Below are 17,022 nucleotides of genomic sequence, written 5' to 3'. Positions count from 1 at the left end.
GTAAAAGAGACAGCCCTGCTTCCCTCTCCCTTTTCCCTTCCCAATGAGCCCTCACAGCCGTGACCCTCAGCCTCATCCCGCAGTGCAGCAGCTGCCGTCCTGTCCAGACCCACCTCCTGCCCCTCCCTGGGACTGTTACCTCATTCCCTCCCAGAGTCCAGGTGCCCCGCGGTTTGGTGCGGGAGCCTGGGGAGGCCCTTTGTTCTCTGTCAGGGTCTCCCTGGGAGGGACGCAGCCACCGCAGCTGGTTGGGGCCTGGCTTCACCGAGGACAGTCCTTTCCTTTCCCATTGTCGTTGGGTAATTATTGCTGGGCTGGGACATGAGGCAGGCAGAGGTGCGGGTCACCCTTAGGGCCCCCCTCTTCCTGCTGGGGCTCTGGGCGCTCCTGGCTCCAGTCCGGTGTTCTCAAGGCCGTCCCTTGTGGCACTACGCCTCCTCCGAGGTGGTGATTCCCAGGAAGGAGACGCACCACGGCAAAGGCCTTCAGTTTCCCGGCTGGCTGTCCCACAGCCTGCGTTTTGGGGGTCAAAGACACGTCATTCACATGCGGAGGAAACACCTTCTTTGGCCCAGACATCTGCTGGTGACAACTCAGGATGACCAAGGAGCCTTGCCGATGGATGGCCCCTACATTCCACCAGACTGCTACTACCTCGGCTACCTGGAGGAGGTGCCTCAGTCCATGGTCACCATCGACACGTGCTATGGGGGCCTCAGAGGCATCATGAAGCTGGACGACCTTGCCTACGAAATCAAACCCCTCCAGGATTCCCGCAGGTTTGAACATGTTGTTTCTCAGATAGTGGCTGAGCCCAATGCAACGGTGCCCACATTTAGAGATGGTGACAATGAGGAGACAGACCCCCTGTTCTCTGAAGCAAATAACAGCATGAATCCCAGGATATCTAATTCGCTGTATAGTTCTCATAGAGGCAATATAAAGGGCCACGTTCAATGTTCCAATTCATATTATCATATATATGGCAATATTACCACCTGTTCCAAAGAGGTGGTCCAGATGTTCAGTCTCATTGACAGCATTGTTCAAAATATTGATCTGTGGTACTATATTTATCTTTTGACCATATATAATAATCGTGACCCAGCCCCTGTGAATCAATATCGAATTCAGAGTGCAATGTTTACCTATTTTAAAACAACCTTTTTTGATACTTTTCATGTTCATTCATCCACACTACTTATTAAAGACGCACCACATGAATCCAACTATGAACCTGAAAGGTATAGCTTCTGTACACATTTAGGCCTATTACACATTGGTACTCTAGGCAGACATTATTTATTGGTAGCCATCATAATAACCCAGACACAGATGAGAAGTATTGGTCTGGAGTATGATGATAACTACTGCACATGTTAGAGAAGGGCCTCCTGCATTATGCAGAGATTTCCTGGGATGACAGATGCATTCAGTAACTGTTCTTATGGACATGCACGAAATTGTTTTATACGTCCAGGCCGGTGTGTTTTCAAAACACTTTCTCCTGTGTATAATGAAACCATGACAACGGTTCGCTGTGGAAACCTCATAGTGGAGGGGAGGGAGGAATGTGACTGTGGCTCCTTCAAGCAGTGTTATGCCAGTTATTGCTGCCAAAGTGACTGTCACTTAACACCGGGGAGCACCTGTCATATAGGAGAGTGCTGTACAAACTTCAGCTTCTCCCCACCAGGGACTCTCTGCAGACCTATCCAAAATATATGTGACCTTCCAGAGTACTGTCACGGGACCACCGTGACATGCCCAGCAAACTTTTATATGCAAGATGGAACCCTGTGCATGGAAGAAGGCTACTGTTATCATGGGAACTGCACTGACCGCAATGTGCTCTGCAAGGCGATGTTTGGTGTCAGTGCTGAGGATGCTCCTAAGGTCTGCTATGACATAAATCTTGAAAGCTACCGATTTGGACATTGTATTAGACAACAAACATATCTCAGCTACCAGGCTTGTACAGGAATAGATAAGTTTTGTGGAGGACTGCAGTGTACCAATGTGACCCATCTTCCCCAGCTGCAGGAACATGTTTCATTCCATCACTCAGTGAGAGGAGGGTTTCAGTGTTTTAGACTGGATGAACACCATGCAACAGACATGACTGATGTTGGGCGTGTGATAGATGGCACTCCTTGTGTTCATGGAAACTTCTGTAATAACACCCGGTGCAATGCAACTATCACTTCACTGGGCTACGACTGTCGCCTTGAGAAGTGCAGTCATAGAGGGGTCTGCAACAACAGAAGGAACTGCCATTGCCATATAGGCTGGGATCCTCCACTGTGCCTAAGAAGAGGTGCTGGTGGGAGTGTCGACAGCGGGCCACCTCCAAAAAGAACATGTTCTCTCAGACAAAGCCAACAATCAGAGATGTATCTGAGAGTGGTCTTTGGTCGTATTTACGCCTTCATAATTGCACTGCTCTTTGGGACAGCCACAAATGTGCAAACTTATCAGGACCACCACCGGTTAGGAAGAGACAGTTACTAACCCTGAATAAGACTAATTCAGCCTCCCGATCCCTGTAAAGATACAGAGAATATAACAGCAAAATCTATGAAATAGGATCAGGCGAAGGGATGGCAAAGCTCAAGTCCACATTTCTTGAAGTCCACAGGAGGCACATGGTCCTGTCTCACGTCACAGGGAAAGGGGAGGCATTGGCTTCTATCCCAGGTTCTTGTAGGTCGCTGATGTTCACTCTGAAATAAATCTTCAAAAACACACATTGGTGCCTTCCACATTTTCTTAGACTCCTCTGGGAGCCCAAACTTGGCCAGAACCTCTGGCCTGGAGAGACATGAATGAGCATCTGGCTCTTGACCTGAGGTCGCTGGTCCCGGAATTAACGGAAGTTGCCACCAGCTCCTTACAGGGCACGTTCATGACATTTCTCCAGAAGAGAGCTCCAGAGCAATAAGCTTCCTCATTCCCCAGGTAATCAGTCCTTCTCTAAACCCGAAGTCAGTTTAGGGTGATCCAGGGCTACTCCCTGTTCCCTGTCTGTTCCTTACAGGGGTGCTGTGGGCTTTGCAGTGAGAGGGACTTGGGTTCAAATCCCCCACCAAGCAAATCCCCCTACCTGGGGCCGAGCTTCCCGTATGTGGGAAAATGAATCCCTCAGGTTGATTGCTGCAAGCAATGAAATTCAACTAGAAAAATAGGTAGACGTGAGGGCAAGCTGTCTGTCATTTAGTGTGAGCTCTGTGAGTGGCAGCTGCCCCCTTTCTTCTTGCCCCCACATTTTCTTGAACTGAAACAGGAAGGGAAGCTGAGTAAGTCATGATGAGGAAGAGAAACCAGGCTTGTAGCAGCACAGGCTGGTCTGGGTGGAAAACAGGGCTAGGTGTGTCGCTAAGTTGTTGTAAAGGAAAATGGAAGTTAAATGTATAAATAACTGAATGAGATAACATTTTATTTTAACTTACAATTCACAATAATATTGACGTTTAAAATGCAGTGTAGATATGTCACAGAGAATGTCAAAGGCAAAGCCCACCAACGGAAGATATCACCCTTCCCATACCATCAACAGAAAACTGCTGGTATTCTAGAGTAGTACTGAGATCTAGCATTTTTCTGAATACATCTGTGGTTCTAGATGTCCTGCTTCCACAGATATTGTTTAGAATTCCCACCCCTTTCTCCAAACACAGCTTGATATCCTTTCTCTGAACCTGCTTAGAAATTTCCTCCATTCAGCTGTCATAAAAATGCGAGTAATGCATTCCTGTGCCTCTCTCAGGGTGTTCTATTATTTTGTGGGTGAACGCTAATGGACAGTGAAGTGTGAGGTCAGTGAATACAATGCCCTCGCCCTGTGTGTCCTTCGGGTGTGAGGGGTTTTGCTGATAGAACAGCAGGCCCCGTCCCACCCTTTATGCATCTCCACCCTCCACCTCATGCACCCAGCTGACCTCTTCCCTGTGGCCTGGGGGGTTCCCTGGGGGAATGACCTCCCCTCTCTCCAGGGCCCACCCACTCAGTGCCCGTGCAAGACCACCAAGCTTGGCACAGCCCCACATTGTGTCAGGGCCTGTGTCCCCTTCCTCACCCCCTAAACAGATGGACCCACTGGGACACTGCTCAGCGCAGGGGGCGGTGGTATGTGCAGAAGGAAGGCAAATGTGCACTCTGTTGGAGAAATATTATAGGTAGTTTGAGCAAAAAATCTAATGCCATGTGAACTTTTAGAATGATACATATTTTAACAAAGAACATGACCAATAGAGTTTGTATTGAAGCCAGGTAAACACTATTTAGAGCAACAACAATATCAAAAACAAGCCAACAGTTCACCAAGAAAAACCACAATTAACCCCATGGAAATGGTCTTCCAAGAGCATCAGCACTTAAATCCTCGAAATCTGCCTGCCTCAGCACCTGTTGTCCTGACCTGCCCTCCTGTGTGTCCTAATCACTCCTATACACGGGGCCTGCACTGTGGGAGATTCGAGCTGTGCCAGGTGGAGGGAGCAGGACAACTGCTACCGGGTTGTTGGTGTGGATGCCGAGGCTACCCAAGCAGGTGTAAACTCCCACCTGTGGGCCAGGGAAGAGTACACAGGAGACATGTCCTGGGAATAGGGTGAGGGAGAGCTGTGGGGGCTCTGGGTTCTGAAGAGGGTTCTGGCCTGGCAGGGATAAGACCAACCAGCATGTGAGGCCAGGCTGGAGTCTGGACTTCTGAAGCTGCAAGGGTCGTGGGTTGCTTGGCCCAAGGGGCTGTCCTGGTTCTCTATGGAGCACTTTCAAACATTCCTTCTTCCTCCCACCCCCTCCTTCTCTCTTTCTGGGGTGGGTCCTCTGCCAGAGCCTGCAACTCCCAAATCCTCTTTGCCGGGTCCTCGGCTTCACTCTGCATCCGTCCTGAGCATCGATCTTCCAATTCCATCCTCTTCTCTTCTGCTGTGTCTAAGCTGCTGTGAAGCCACCTGCTGTAATTTACTGTTTTATATTTAATATTGTACCGTACATCTGTTCTGTTTCCTTCATCATAAACGCTTCATTTCACACTCAGCATCTGGGAACACAAGGCCTTGTCAGCTGTCACCTCCTTCCATTCTCTGTTTCCTTCCTCCTCTCCCCATGTTTGCTCATCATGGCCAGTCTCCTGCCATCCTGAATGCTTCTGATGGAAGGTCCAAGATGTCTCATGAGCATTGTGAAGATTCTTTGTAATGCGACCTTGTTCCAGGCAGGAATTCTCCCTCACCCACCCCTGGAAGCCAAGTATAGGGAGATTGCCATGTTTAATCAAAGACTGAGCTAACTTAACACTGGCTTTGGTTTTAAGGTTTCTCCAATCCCCAGGGCACAGGATTTCAGGGAGTTCAGGTGACAGTCTGGGTGTTACCCTTCAGGAGGTTGTAAAGACCATTTCACATAGTTTACACCACAGACTATGGAAACTATATATATATATATCTAGTGCTGTCCCTCTAGAGAACCCTAGTATGTATATATATAATATATAATATGTATTATATATTATATATATGTAGGAGTTTATTGAGGAGTATTAAACTCACACAACTGCAAGGTCCCACAGTAGGCCACCTGCAAGCTGAGGAGCAAGGAAGCCAGTCCGAATCCCAAAGCTGAAGAATTTGAAGTCTGATGTTCGAGGGCAGGAAGCATCCAGCACAGGAGAAAGATGTAGGCTGGGAGGCTAAGCCAGTCTAGTCTTTTCATGTTTTCTGCCTGCTTTATACCCTGGCCACACTGGCAGCTGATTAGATGGTGCCCACCAAGATTAAGGGTAGGTCTGCCTTTCCCAGCTCACTGGCTCAAATGTTAATCTCCTTTGGCAACACCCTCACAGACACACCCAGGATCAATACTTTGCATGCTTCAATCCAATCAAGTTGACACTCTGTATTAACCATCACAAGTCCAACCCTTGTCAACTTGAACCCATACGAATCTCCTGAGATCATACATAATCTTCAAATAAAGACAATAATAAGGTCATAATTACACCTAATGTAATACAACTATCTTTTGTACAACCAGAAATGCACCAATCCCCAACCCAAGTGCTATTATGTAAAGTTAAGAACACTTAAATGCTGATATGAAGTCAATAAATTTTATGTCACATGATAAAGGAAAAAAGAAATAAAATGAAGGAATTTTCTTAGTACAAGTGTGTACATGCACAAACATGTTTTTAACAAAAGAAGAAGGAAATACTGATGACAATTACAGTCCTCATTTCTGCAACAGATCACGTGGTTGTAGCTGGTATTGATGACTACTTCTTCTACTACCGATTCTGTATTCCCTTTGCCTTCAGCAAGCATCACAGCAGGTAGAGTTTTTTCTCCTAGTGGAGTGATGCAAACCTTCATTCCTGAAGGGTCTGGGCCATTTGTAGTCCTGCCTGGATTGGGCTGTTGTAGTTTCCCGTTGACCTTAATGACAGGGCAGGGTAATGTTAAGAGATGCCCTAATGGATCTCCTGTATTCCATACATATTCTTCCTTACCTCCATTGTGGAGTAATAGACTGATTGCATCTTGATAGTTCAGGTCAATCAGCCCAGTCAACACTGTAACTCCCTTCTTAGCCTGTGGACTTGAAGGTAGGAGCGGCCCAAAGTGGCCAGGTGGAAATCTTAACTTCCAGTTTAATGGAATTGTTGTTGTTTCTCCTGATGGCAGCATTATTCCCACTGGAATTAAGACCTCTAGGCCAACAGAATGTAATGTCATGGGACCAGGAAGCAAAAATTTTGCTAGGGGATCACTAGGGGTGATGGTGAATGGTGCCATTTCCACTCCCACCCCTTGATTCCTGGATCCATGAATTATGGCTATGGGAGAAACAGTACCATATGTTGGATGCTAATTTGGAGCATACATGGCCTTTTGGATAGCTTTGCCCCAGCTCTGCAAAGTATTGGAGCCTAGTTGGCATTGTAATTGTGATTTTGAAAGGCCATTCCATTCTTCTATCAATCCAGCTGCTTCAGGATGATGGGGAACATGGTAAGACAAGTGAATCCCATGAGCATGAGCCCACTGCCACACTTCTTTAGCCGTAAAGGGAGTGCCTTGGTCAGAGGCAATGCTATATGGAATACTGTGACAGTGGATAAGGCATTCCATGACTCCACAGATGGTAGTCTTGGCAGAAGCATTGCATGCATATCTGCAGTAAGTGTCTATTTCAGTGAGGACAAACCTCTGCCCTTTCCAGGATGGAAGAGGTCCAATATAATCCAACCTGCCATCAGGTAGCTCGCTGATCACCCTGAGGAATGGTGTCATTTGGGTAGAGACCCACAGCCAAACCAGATCACGCCACCCCAACCCCTCCCAAATCTCATGTCCTCTTTGCATTTCAAAACCAATCGTGCCTTCCCAACAGTCCCCCAACATCTTAACTCATTTCAGCATTAACTCAAAAGTCCAAATCCAAAGTCACATTGGAGACAAGGCAAGTCCCTTTCATCTATGAACCTGTAAAATGAAAAACAAGTCAGTTACTTCCAAGACAAAATGGGGGTACAGGCATTAGATACATGCTCCCATTTCAGTTGGGAGAAATGGGCCAGAATAAAGGGGCTACAGGTCACATGCAAGCCCAAACTCCAGTGGGGCAGTCATGAAATCTTAAAGCTTCAAAATAATCTCCTTTGACTCCATTCCTCACATTCAGGGCATGCTTATGCAAAGTGGGGGCTCCCACAACCTTGGGAAGCTCTCACCCTGTGGCTTTGCAGCTCTGATCCCATGGCTGCTCTCATGGGCTTTGCAGAGTTCAGCCCTCCTGGCTGCTCTCATTGAGTGCCTGCAGCTTTTCCAGGTGCACAGTGCAAGCTGTTAATAGATCTACCATTCTGGGGTCTGAAGGATGGTGGCCCTCTTCTCACAACCCCATTAGTCACTGTCTCCGGTGGGGACTCTGTGTGGGGGTTCCAACCCCACATTTCCCTTCTGCACTGCCCTAGCAGAGGCTCTCCATGAGGGCTTTGCCCCTGGCACAGACTTCTGGCTGGACATCCAGTCATTTCTATAAATCCTCTGAGATCTAGGCAGAGGATCACAAAGCTGAACTCTTCTCTTCTGCACACCCATAGGCCCAACATCATGTAGAAGCCACCAATGATTGGGGCTTTCTGAAGCAATGGCCTGAGCTGTACATTGGACTTTTTTAGCCACAGCTAGACCTGGAGCAGCTGGGACACAGGGCACCAAGTCCCAAGGCTCCAAAGAGCAGCTGGGCCCTGGACCCAGCCCATGAAACCATTTTTCCCTGATAGGCCTCCAGGCCTGTGATTGGAAGGGCTGCTGCAAAGATCTCTGACATGGCCTGGAAACATTTTCCCCATTGTCTTGGTTATTAATATTCATCTCTTCATTATTTATGCAAATTTCTGCAGCCAACTTGAATTTCTCCCTAGCAAATGTGTTTTTCTTTACTACCACATGGCCAGGCTGCAAACTTTCCAAACTTTTATGCTCTGTTTCCCTTTTAAACATAAGTTCCTATTTCAGATCATCTCTCTCAAGGGCAAAGTTCCACAGATTTCTAGGGCAGGGAAAAATTCCATCAAGCTTGGTTTTATACAGGCATGAGACATCAATCAAATACATTTAAGAGATACATTGGTTTGGTCCAGAAAGGTGGAACAACTCAAAGCGAGGGCTTCCAGGCTATTGGTGAATTTAAACATTTTCTGGTTGACAATTGGTTGAGTTTGTCTAAAGACCTGGGATAGATAGAAAGGTAATGTTCAGGTTAAGATAAAGATTCTAGAGTCCAAAGTTCTTTTGAAGTCTTATAGTGGCTGCCCTTAGAGATAATAGGTGACAAATGTTTCCTATTCAGATCTTAGTTCAACTCTTTAGGATTGGGAGGTTCTAGAAGAAAAAGATCTAGCCATGTTAATAGAGATTCTTTACAGATGCAAATTTTCCCCCACAAAGAACAGCTTTGCAGGGCCCTTTCTTTCTTTCTTTCTTTCTTTCTTTCTTTCTTTCTTTCTTTCTTTCTTTTCTTTCTCTTTCCTTCCTTCCTTCCTTCCTTCCTTCCTTCCTTCCTTCCTTCCTTCCTTCCTTCCTTCCTTCTCTCTCTCTCTCTCTCTCTTTCTTTCTTTCTTTTTAGAGGGAGTTTTGCTCTTGTTGCCCAGGCTGGAGTACAATGGCACGATCTTGTCTCACCACAACCTCCACTGCCTGGGTTCAAGCAATTCTCCTGCCTCAGTCTCCTGAGTAGCTACGATTACAGGCATGCACCACCACACCCGGCTAATTCTGTATTTTCAGTAGACACAGGGTTTCTCCATGTTGGTGAGGCTGGTCTCGAACTCCCAACCTCAGGTGATCCGCCCACCTCAGCCTCTCAAAGTGCTGGGATTACAGGCATGAGCCACCATGCCCGGCCTGCAGGGCCATCTCAGAGTATGGCAAAGAAACATGTTTTGGGGTAAAATATTTTGATTTTCTTATTTGTCTCATAATGTTATGCCAGAGTCAGTTTGGAAAGTAAATCATGATATATAGGTTTAAATAAAACCTATCTGATGAGAATTTATGATTTGTAGAGCATGCCTCCCCAGACTCTTTAGATAGGAATTTGGGCAAGATAAAAAAAAAATCAGAGTTTAGTCCTCACCATCTAAGACCAGCTCAGCTTGGACTTCGCTGTTCATGTCACTATCAGCATTTTAGTCAAAACCACTCAATAAGTCTCTAGGAAGTTCCAAACTTTCCCACATCTTCCCCTCTTCTTTCAAGTTCTCCAAACTGTTCCAACCTCTGTCAGGAGGTACCCGGTTCCAAAGTTGCTTCCAGATTTTCAGTTATCTTTATAACAGTTCCCCACTCCTGGTACCAATTTACTATATTAGTCTGTTTTCACAGTGCTATAAAGAACTGCCCAAAAGTGGATAATTTGTAAAGAAAAGAGGTTTAATTGACTCACAGTTCTGTGTGGTTAGGGTCGGGGGCTCAGGAAACTTGCAATCATGGTGGAAGTGGAAGCAGGCATGTGACACATGGCAGCAGGTGAGAGACAGAGAGAGAGAGAGAAAGAGAGAGAGAGGGAATGAAGGAGGAACCACCATACATTGATAAAACCATCAGATCACATGAGCACTCACTCACTATCAGGAGACCATGAGGACAGCATGGGGGAAATCACCCCCATGACCAAGTCACCTCCCACCAGGTCCATCCCTTGACACATGAGGATTACTATTTTTTTTTTTTTTTTGAGATGGAGTCTCGCTCTGACGCCCAGGCTGGAGTGCAGTGGCGGGATCTCGGCTCACTGCAAGCTCCGCCTCCCGGGTTCACGCCATTCTCCTGCCTCAGCCTCCCAAGTAGCTGGGACTACAGGCGCCCGCCAGTACGCCCGGCTAATTTTTTGTATTTTTAGTAGAGACGGGGTTTCACCGTTTTAGCCGGGATGGTCTCGATCTCCTGACCTCGTGATCCGCCCGCCTCAGCCTCCCAAAGTGCCGGGATTACAGGCGTGAGCCACCGCGCCCGGCCGAGGATTACTATTTGAGATGAGATTTGTTTAATGACACAGAGCAAAACCACATCAGCATGTGACAAAGGTCTAATATCAAGAATCTATGAGGGGGCAGTTCCAAGATGGCTGAATAGGAACAGCTCCAGTCTGCAGCTCCCAGCATGAGCTATGCAGAAGACGGGTGATTTCTGCATTTCCAACTGAGGTTCTGGGTTCATCTCATGGGGGCTTGTTGGACAGTGGGGGCAGGACAGTGTGTGCAGACCACCAAGAGTGAGCTGAAGCAGGGTGAGGCATTGCCTAACCCAGGAAGTGCAAGGGGTCAGGGAATTCCCATTCCTAGCCAAGGGAAGTGGTGATGGACGGCACCTGGAAAATCCAGTCACTCCCACCCTAATACTGCACTTTTCCAATGGTCTTAGCAAACGGCACACCAGGAGATTATATCCCATGCCTGTCTTGGAGGGTCCCACACCCACAGAGCCTCGCTCATTGCTAGCACAGCAGTCTGAGATCAAACTGCAAGGTGGCAGCGAGGCTGGGGGAGGGGTGCCCATCATTGCTGAGGCTTGAGTAGGTAAACAAAGTGGCCCAGAAGCTCAAACTGGGTGGAGTCCACTGCAGCTCAAGGAGGCCTGTCTGCCTCTGTAGACTCCACCTCTGGGGGCAGGGCATAGCTGAACAAAAGGCAGCAGAAACCTCTGCAGACTTAAAGGTCCCTGTCTGACAGCTTTGAAGAGAGTAGTGGTTCTCCCACATGGACTTTGAGATCTGAGAATGGACAGACTGTCTCAAGTGGGTCCCTGACACCCAAGTAGCCTAACTGGGAGGCACCCTCCAGTAGGGGCAGACTGACACCTCACACGGCCGGGTGCCTCTCTGAGATGAAGCTTCCAGAGGAATTATCAGGCAGCAACATTTGCTGTTCAGCAATACTCGCTGTTCTGCAGCCTCTGCTGCTGATACCCAGCAAAATAGGGTCTGCAGTAGAGCTCCAGCAAACTCCAACAGACCTGCAGCTGAGGGTCCTGACTGTTAGAAGGAAAACTAACAAACAGAAAGGACATCCACATGAAAACCCCATCTGTACGTCACCATCATCAAAGACCAAAGGTAGATAAAACCACAAAGATGGGGGAAAAACAGAGCAGAAAAGCTGAAAATTCTAAAAATCAAAGTGCCTTTCCCCCTCCAAAGGAACGCAGCTCCTCGCCCGCAATGGAACAAAGCTGGATGGAGAAAGACTTTGACGAGTTGAGAGAAGAAGGCTTCAGATGATCAAACTACTCCGAGCTAAAGGAGGAAGTTGGAACCCATTGCAAAGAAGCTAAAAACCTTGAAAAAAGATCAGATGAATAGCTAACTAGAATAACCAGTGTAGAGAAGTCCTTAAATGACCTGATGGAGCTGAAAACCATGGCACAAGAACTACGTGATGAATGCACAAGCTTCAGTAGCTGATTCGATCAACTGGGAGAAAGGGTATCAGTGATTGAAGATCAAATGAAAGAAATGAAGGGAGAAGAGAAGTTTAGAGAAAAAAGAGTAAAAAGAAAGAAACAAACCCTCCAAGAAATATCAGACTATGTGAAAAGACCAAATCTATGTCTGATTGGTGTACCTGAAAGTGACAGGGAGAATGGAACCAATTTGGAAAACACTCTGCAGGATATTATCCAGGAGAACTTCCCCAACCTAGCAAGACAGGCCAACATTCAAATTCAGGAAATACAGAGAATGTCACAAAGATACTCCTCGAGAAGAGCAACTCCAAGACACATAATTGTCAGATTCACCAAAGTTGAAATGAAAAAAAAATATTAAGGGCAGCCAGAGAGAAAGGTTGGGTTACCCACAAAGGGAGGCCCATCAGACTAATAGCTGATCTCTCAGCAGAAACTCTACAAGCCAGAAGAGAATGGGGGCCAATATCCAACATTCTTAAAGAAAAGAAATTTCAACCCAGAATTTCATATCCAGCCAAACTAAGCTTCATAAGTGAAGGAGAAATAAAATCCTTTACAGACAAACAAATGCTGATACACTTTGTCATCACCAGGCCTGCCCTACAGGAGCTCCTGAAGGAAGCACTAAAAGTGGAAAGGAACAACTTGTACCAGCCACTGCAAAAACATGCCAAATTGTAAAGACCACCAAGGCTAGGAAGAAACTGCATCAACTAATGAGCCAAATGACCAACTAACATCATAATGACAGGATCAAATTCACACATAACAATATTAACGTTAAATGTAAATGGGCTAAATGCTCCAATTAAAAGACACAGACTGGCAAATTGGATAAAGAGTCAAGACCCATCAGCGTGCTGTTTTCAGGAGACCGATCTCACATGCAGAGACACACATAGGCTCAAAATAAAGGGATGGAGGAAGATCTACCAAGCAAATGGAAAACAAAAATAGGCAGGAGATGCAATCCTAGTCTCTGATAAAACAGACTTCAAACCAACAAAGATCAAAAGAGACAAGGAAGACCATTACATAATGGTAAAGGGATAAATTCAACAAGAAGAGCTAACTATCCTAAATATATATGCACCCAATACAGGAGCGCCCAGATTCATAAAGCAAGTCCTTAGAGATCTACAAAGAGACTTAGACTCCCACACAATAATCATAGGAGACTTTAACACCCCACTGTCAACATTAGACAGATCAACGAGACAGAAAGTTAACAAGGATATCCAGGAACTGAACTCGGCTCTGCACCAAGCAGACCTAATAGACATCTACAGAACTCTCCACGCCAAATCAACAGAATATACATTCTTTTCAGCACCACACCACACCTATTCCAAAATTGACCACATAGTTGGAAGTAAAGCACTCCTCAGCAAATGTAAAAGAATAGAAATTATAACAAACTGTCTCTCAGACCACAGTGCAATCAAACTAGAACTCAGGATTAAGAAACTCACTCAAAACGGCTCAACTACATGGAAACTGAACAACCTGCTCCTGAATGACTACTGGGTACACAACGAAATGAAGGCAGAAATAAAGATGTTCTTTGAAACCAATGAGAACAAAGACACAACATACTAGAATATCTGAGACACATTCAAAGCAGTGTGTAGAGGGAAATTTATAGCACTAAATGCCCACAAGAGAAAGCAGGAAAGATCTAAAATTGACACCCTAACATCACAATTAAAAGAGCTACAGAAGCAAGAGCAAACACATTCAAAAGCCCGCAGAAGGCAAGAAATAACTAAGATCAGAGCAGAACTGAAAGAAACAGAGACACAAAACACCCTTCAAAAAATCAATGAATCCAGGAGTTGGTTTTTTTTAAAAGATCAACAAAATTGATAGACCGCTAGCAAGACTAATAAAGAAGAAAAGAGAGAAGAATCAAATAGATGCAATAAAAAATGATAAAGGGGATATCACCACTGATCCCACAGAAATACAAACTACCATCAGAGAATACTATAAACACCTCTATGCAAATAAACTAGAAAATATGGAAGAAATGGATAAATTCCTCGACACATTCACCATCCCAAGACTAAACCAGGAAGAAGTTGAATCTCTGAATAGACCAATAACAGGCTCTGAAATTGAGGCAGTAATTAATAGCTTACCAACCAAAAAAAGTCCAGGACCAGATGGATTCACAGCCGAATTCTACCAGAGGTACAAGGAGGAGCTGGTACCACTCCTTCTGAAACTATTCCAATCAATAGAAAAAGAGGGAATCCTCCCTAACTCATTTTATGAGGCCAGCATCATCCTGATACCAAAGCCTGGCAGAGACACAACAAAAAAAAGAGAATTTTAGACGAATAACCCTGATGAACATAGATGCAAAAATCCTCAATAAAATACTGGCAAACTGAATCCAGCAGCACATCAAAAAGCTTATCCACCATGATCAAGTGGGCTTCATACCTGGGATGCAAGGCTGGTTCAACATACACAAATCAATAAACGTAATCCAGCGTATAAACAGAACCAACAACAAAAAACACATGATATCTCAATAGATGCAGAAAAGGCCTTTGACAAAATTCAACAACGCTTCATGCTAAAAACTCTCAATAAATTAGGTATTGATGGGATGTATCTCAAAATAATAACAGCTATCTATGACAAACCCACAGCCAATATCATACTGAATGGGCAAAAACTACAAGCATTCCCTTTGAAAGCTGGCACAACACAGCGACACCCTCTCTCACCACTCCTATTCAACATAGTGTTGGAAGTTCTGGCCAGGGCAATCAAACAGGAGAAGGAAATAAAGGGTATTCAATTCGGAAAAGAGGAAGTCAAATTGTCGCTGTTTGCAGATAACATGATTGTATATCTAGAAAACCCCATCGTCTCAGCCCAAAATCTCCTTAAGCTGATAAGCAACTTCAGCAAAGTCTCAGGATACAAAATCAATGTGCAAAAATCACAAGCATTTCTATAACCCAATAACAGAAAAACAGAAAGCCAAATCAGGAGTGAACTCCCATTCACAATTGCTTCAAAGAGAATAAAATACCTTGGAATCCAACTTACAAGGGACGTGAAGGACCTCTTCAAGGAGAACTACAAACCACTGCTCAATGAAATAAGAGGATACAAACAAATGGAAAAACATTCCATGATTATGGGTAGGAAGGATCAATATCCTGAAAATGGCCATACTGCCCAATGTAATTTATAGATTCATTGCCATCCCCATCAAGCTACCAATGACTTTCTTCACAGAATTGGAAAAAATTATTTTAAAGTTCATATGGAACCCAAAAAGAGCCCACATTGCCAAGTCAATCCTAAGCCAAAAGAACAAAGCTGGAGGCATCAAGCTACCTGACTTCAAACTATACTACAAAGCTACAGTAACCAAAACAGCATGGTACTGGTACCAAAACAGAGATATAGACCAATGGAACAGAACAGAGCCCTCAGAAATAATGCCGCATATCTACAACTATCTGATTTTTGACAAACCTGACAAAAATAAGAAATGGGGAAATGATTAGCTATTTAATAAATGGTGCTGGGAAAACAGGCTAGCCATATGTAGAAAGCTGAAACTGGATCCCTTCCTTACACCTTATACAAAAATTAATTCACGATGGATTAAAGACTTAAATGTTAGGCCTAAAACCATGAAAACCCTAGAAGAAAACCTAGGCATTATCATTCAGGACATAGGCATGGGCAAGGACTTCATGTCTAAAACACCAAAAGCAATGACAACCAAAGCCAAAATTGACAAATGGGATCTAATTAAACTAAAGAGCTTCTGCACAGCAAAAGAAACTACCATCAGAGTAAACAGGCAACCTACAGAATGGGAGAAAATTTTTGCAATCTACTCATCTGACAAAGGGCTAATATCCAGAATCTACAATGAACTCAAACAAATTTACAAGAAAAACAAACAACCCCATTAAAAGTGGGCAAAGGATATGAATAGACACTTCTCAAAAGAAGACATTTATGCAGCCAAAAGACACATGAAAAAATGCTCATCATCACTAGCCATCAGAGAAATGCAAATCAAAACCGCAATGAGATACCATCTCACACCAGTTAGAATGGCAATCATTAAAAAGTCAGGAAACAACAGGTGCTGGAGAAGATGTGTAGAAATAGGAACACTTTTACACTGTTGGTGGGACTGTAAACTAGTTCAACCATTGTGGAAGTCAGTGTGGCGATTCCTCAGGGATCTAGAACTAGAAATACCATTTGACCCAGCCATCCCATTACTGGGTATATACCCAAAGGATTATAAATCATGCTGCTATAAAGACACATGCACACATATGTTTATTGCGGCACTATTCACAATAGCAAAGACTTGGAACCAACCCATATGTCCAACAATGATAGACTGGATTAAGAAACTGTGGCACATATACACCATGGAATACTACACAGCCATAAAAAAGGATGAGTTCATGTCCTTTGTAGGGACATGGATGAAGCTGGAAACCATCATTCTCACCGAACTATCGCAAGGACAAAAAGCAAACACCACATGTTCTCACTCATTGGTGGGAATTGAACAATGAGAACACTTGGACACAGGAAGGGGAACATCATACACCGGGGCCTGTTGTGGGGTGGGGGGAGGGGGGAGGGATAGCATTAGGAGATATACCTAATGTTAAATGATGAGTTAATGGGTGTAGCACACAAACATGGCACATATATACATATGTAACAAACCTGCACGTTGTGCACATGTACCCTAAAACTTAAAGTATAATAAAAAAATTAAAAAAAAAGAAACACCTGCTTTTTCCTGTTTTCCATTTGCTTTGTTGATTTTTCTCCATTTTTTTACTTTGAGCCTGTGGATGTCACTGCATGTGAGATGGGTCTCTTGAAGACAGCATACATTTGGGTCTTGCTTCTTTATCCAACTTGGCAATTCTGTGCCCTTTAATTGGGGCATTTAGTCCATTTACATTCAAGATTAATATTGATATGTGCATATTTCATCCTGTTATCATGTTGTTAGCTGCTCAATATGCAGATTTGA

General features: G+C 44.7%; 1 long non-coding RNA gene and 1 pseudogene across 1 annotated transcript in view; one reads left to right on the top strand and one right to left on the bottom strand.

Annotated features, from left to right (window-relative positions):
• On the top strand, positions 343–2,346 carry LOC283804 (disintegrin and metalloproteinase domain-containing protein 21-like; annotated as a pseudogene).
• Positions 5,512–17,022, bottom strand: part of FAM30C (family with sequence similarity 30 member C) — a 46,560-nt gene continuing 35,049 nt past the window's right edge. Inside the window, exons 3-4 of the long non-coding RNA NR_145444.1 lie at positions 9,955–9,988; positions 5,512–7,487 (exon numbers count right to left, since the gene is read on the bottom strand). This is a non-coding gene — a long non-coding RNA (family with sequence similarity 30 member C). The remainder of the gene's footprint in view (positions 7,488–9,954; positions 9,989–17,022) is intronic.

The sequence above is a fragment of the Homo sapiens genome, chromosome 15 (genome assembly GCF_000001405.40).
Source record: "Homo sapiens chromosome 15, GRCh38.p14 Primary Assembly".
Lineage (NCBI taxonomy): Eukaryota > Metazoa > Chordata > Mammalia > Primates > Hominidae > Homo > Homo sapiens.
The sequence above is the reverse complement of the archived record's forward strand: the minus strand, read 5'-3'. Positions and strand labels throughout refer to the sequence as shown.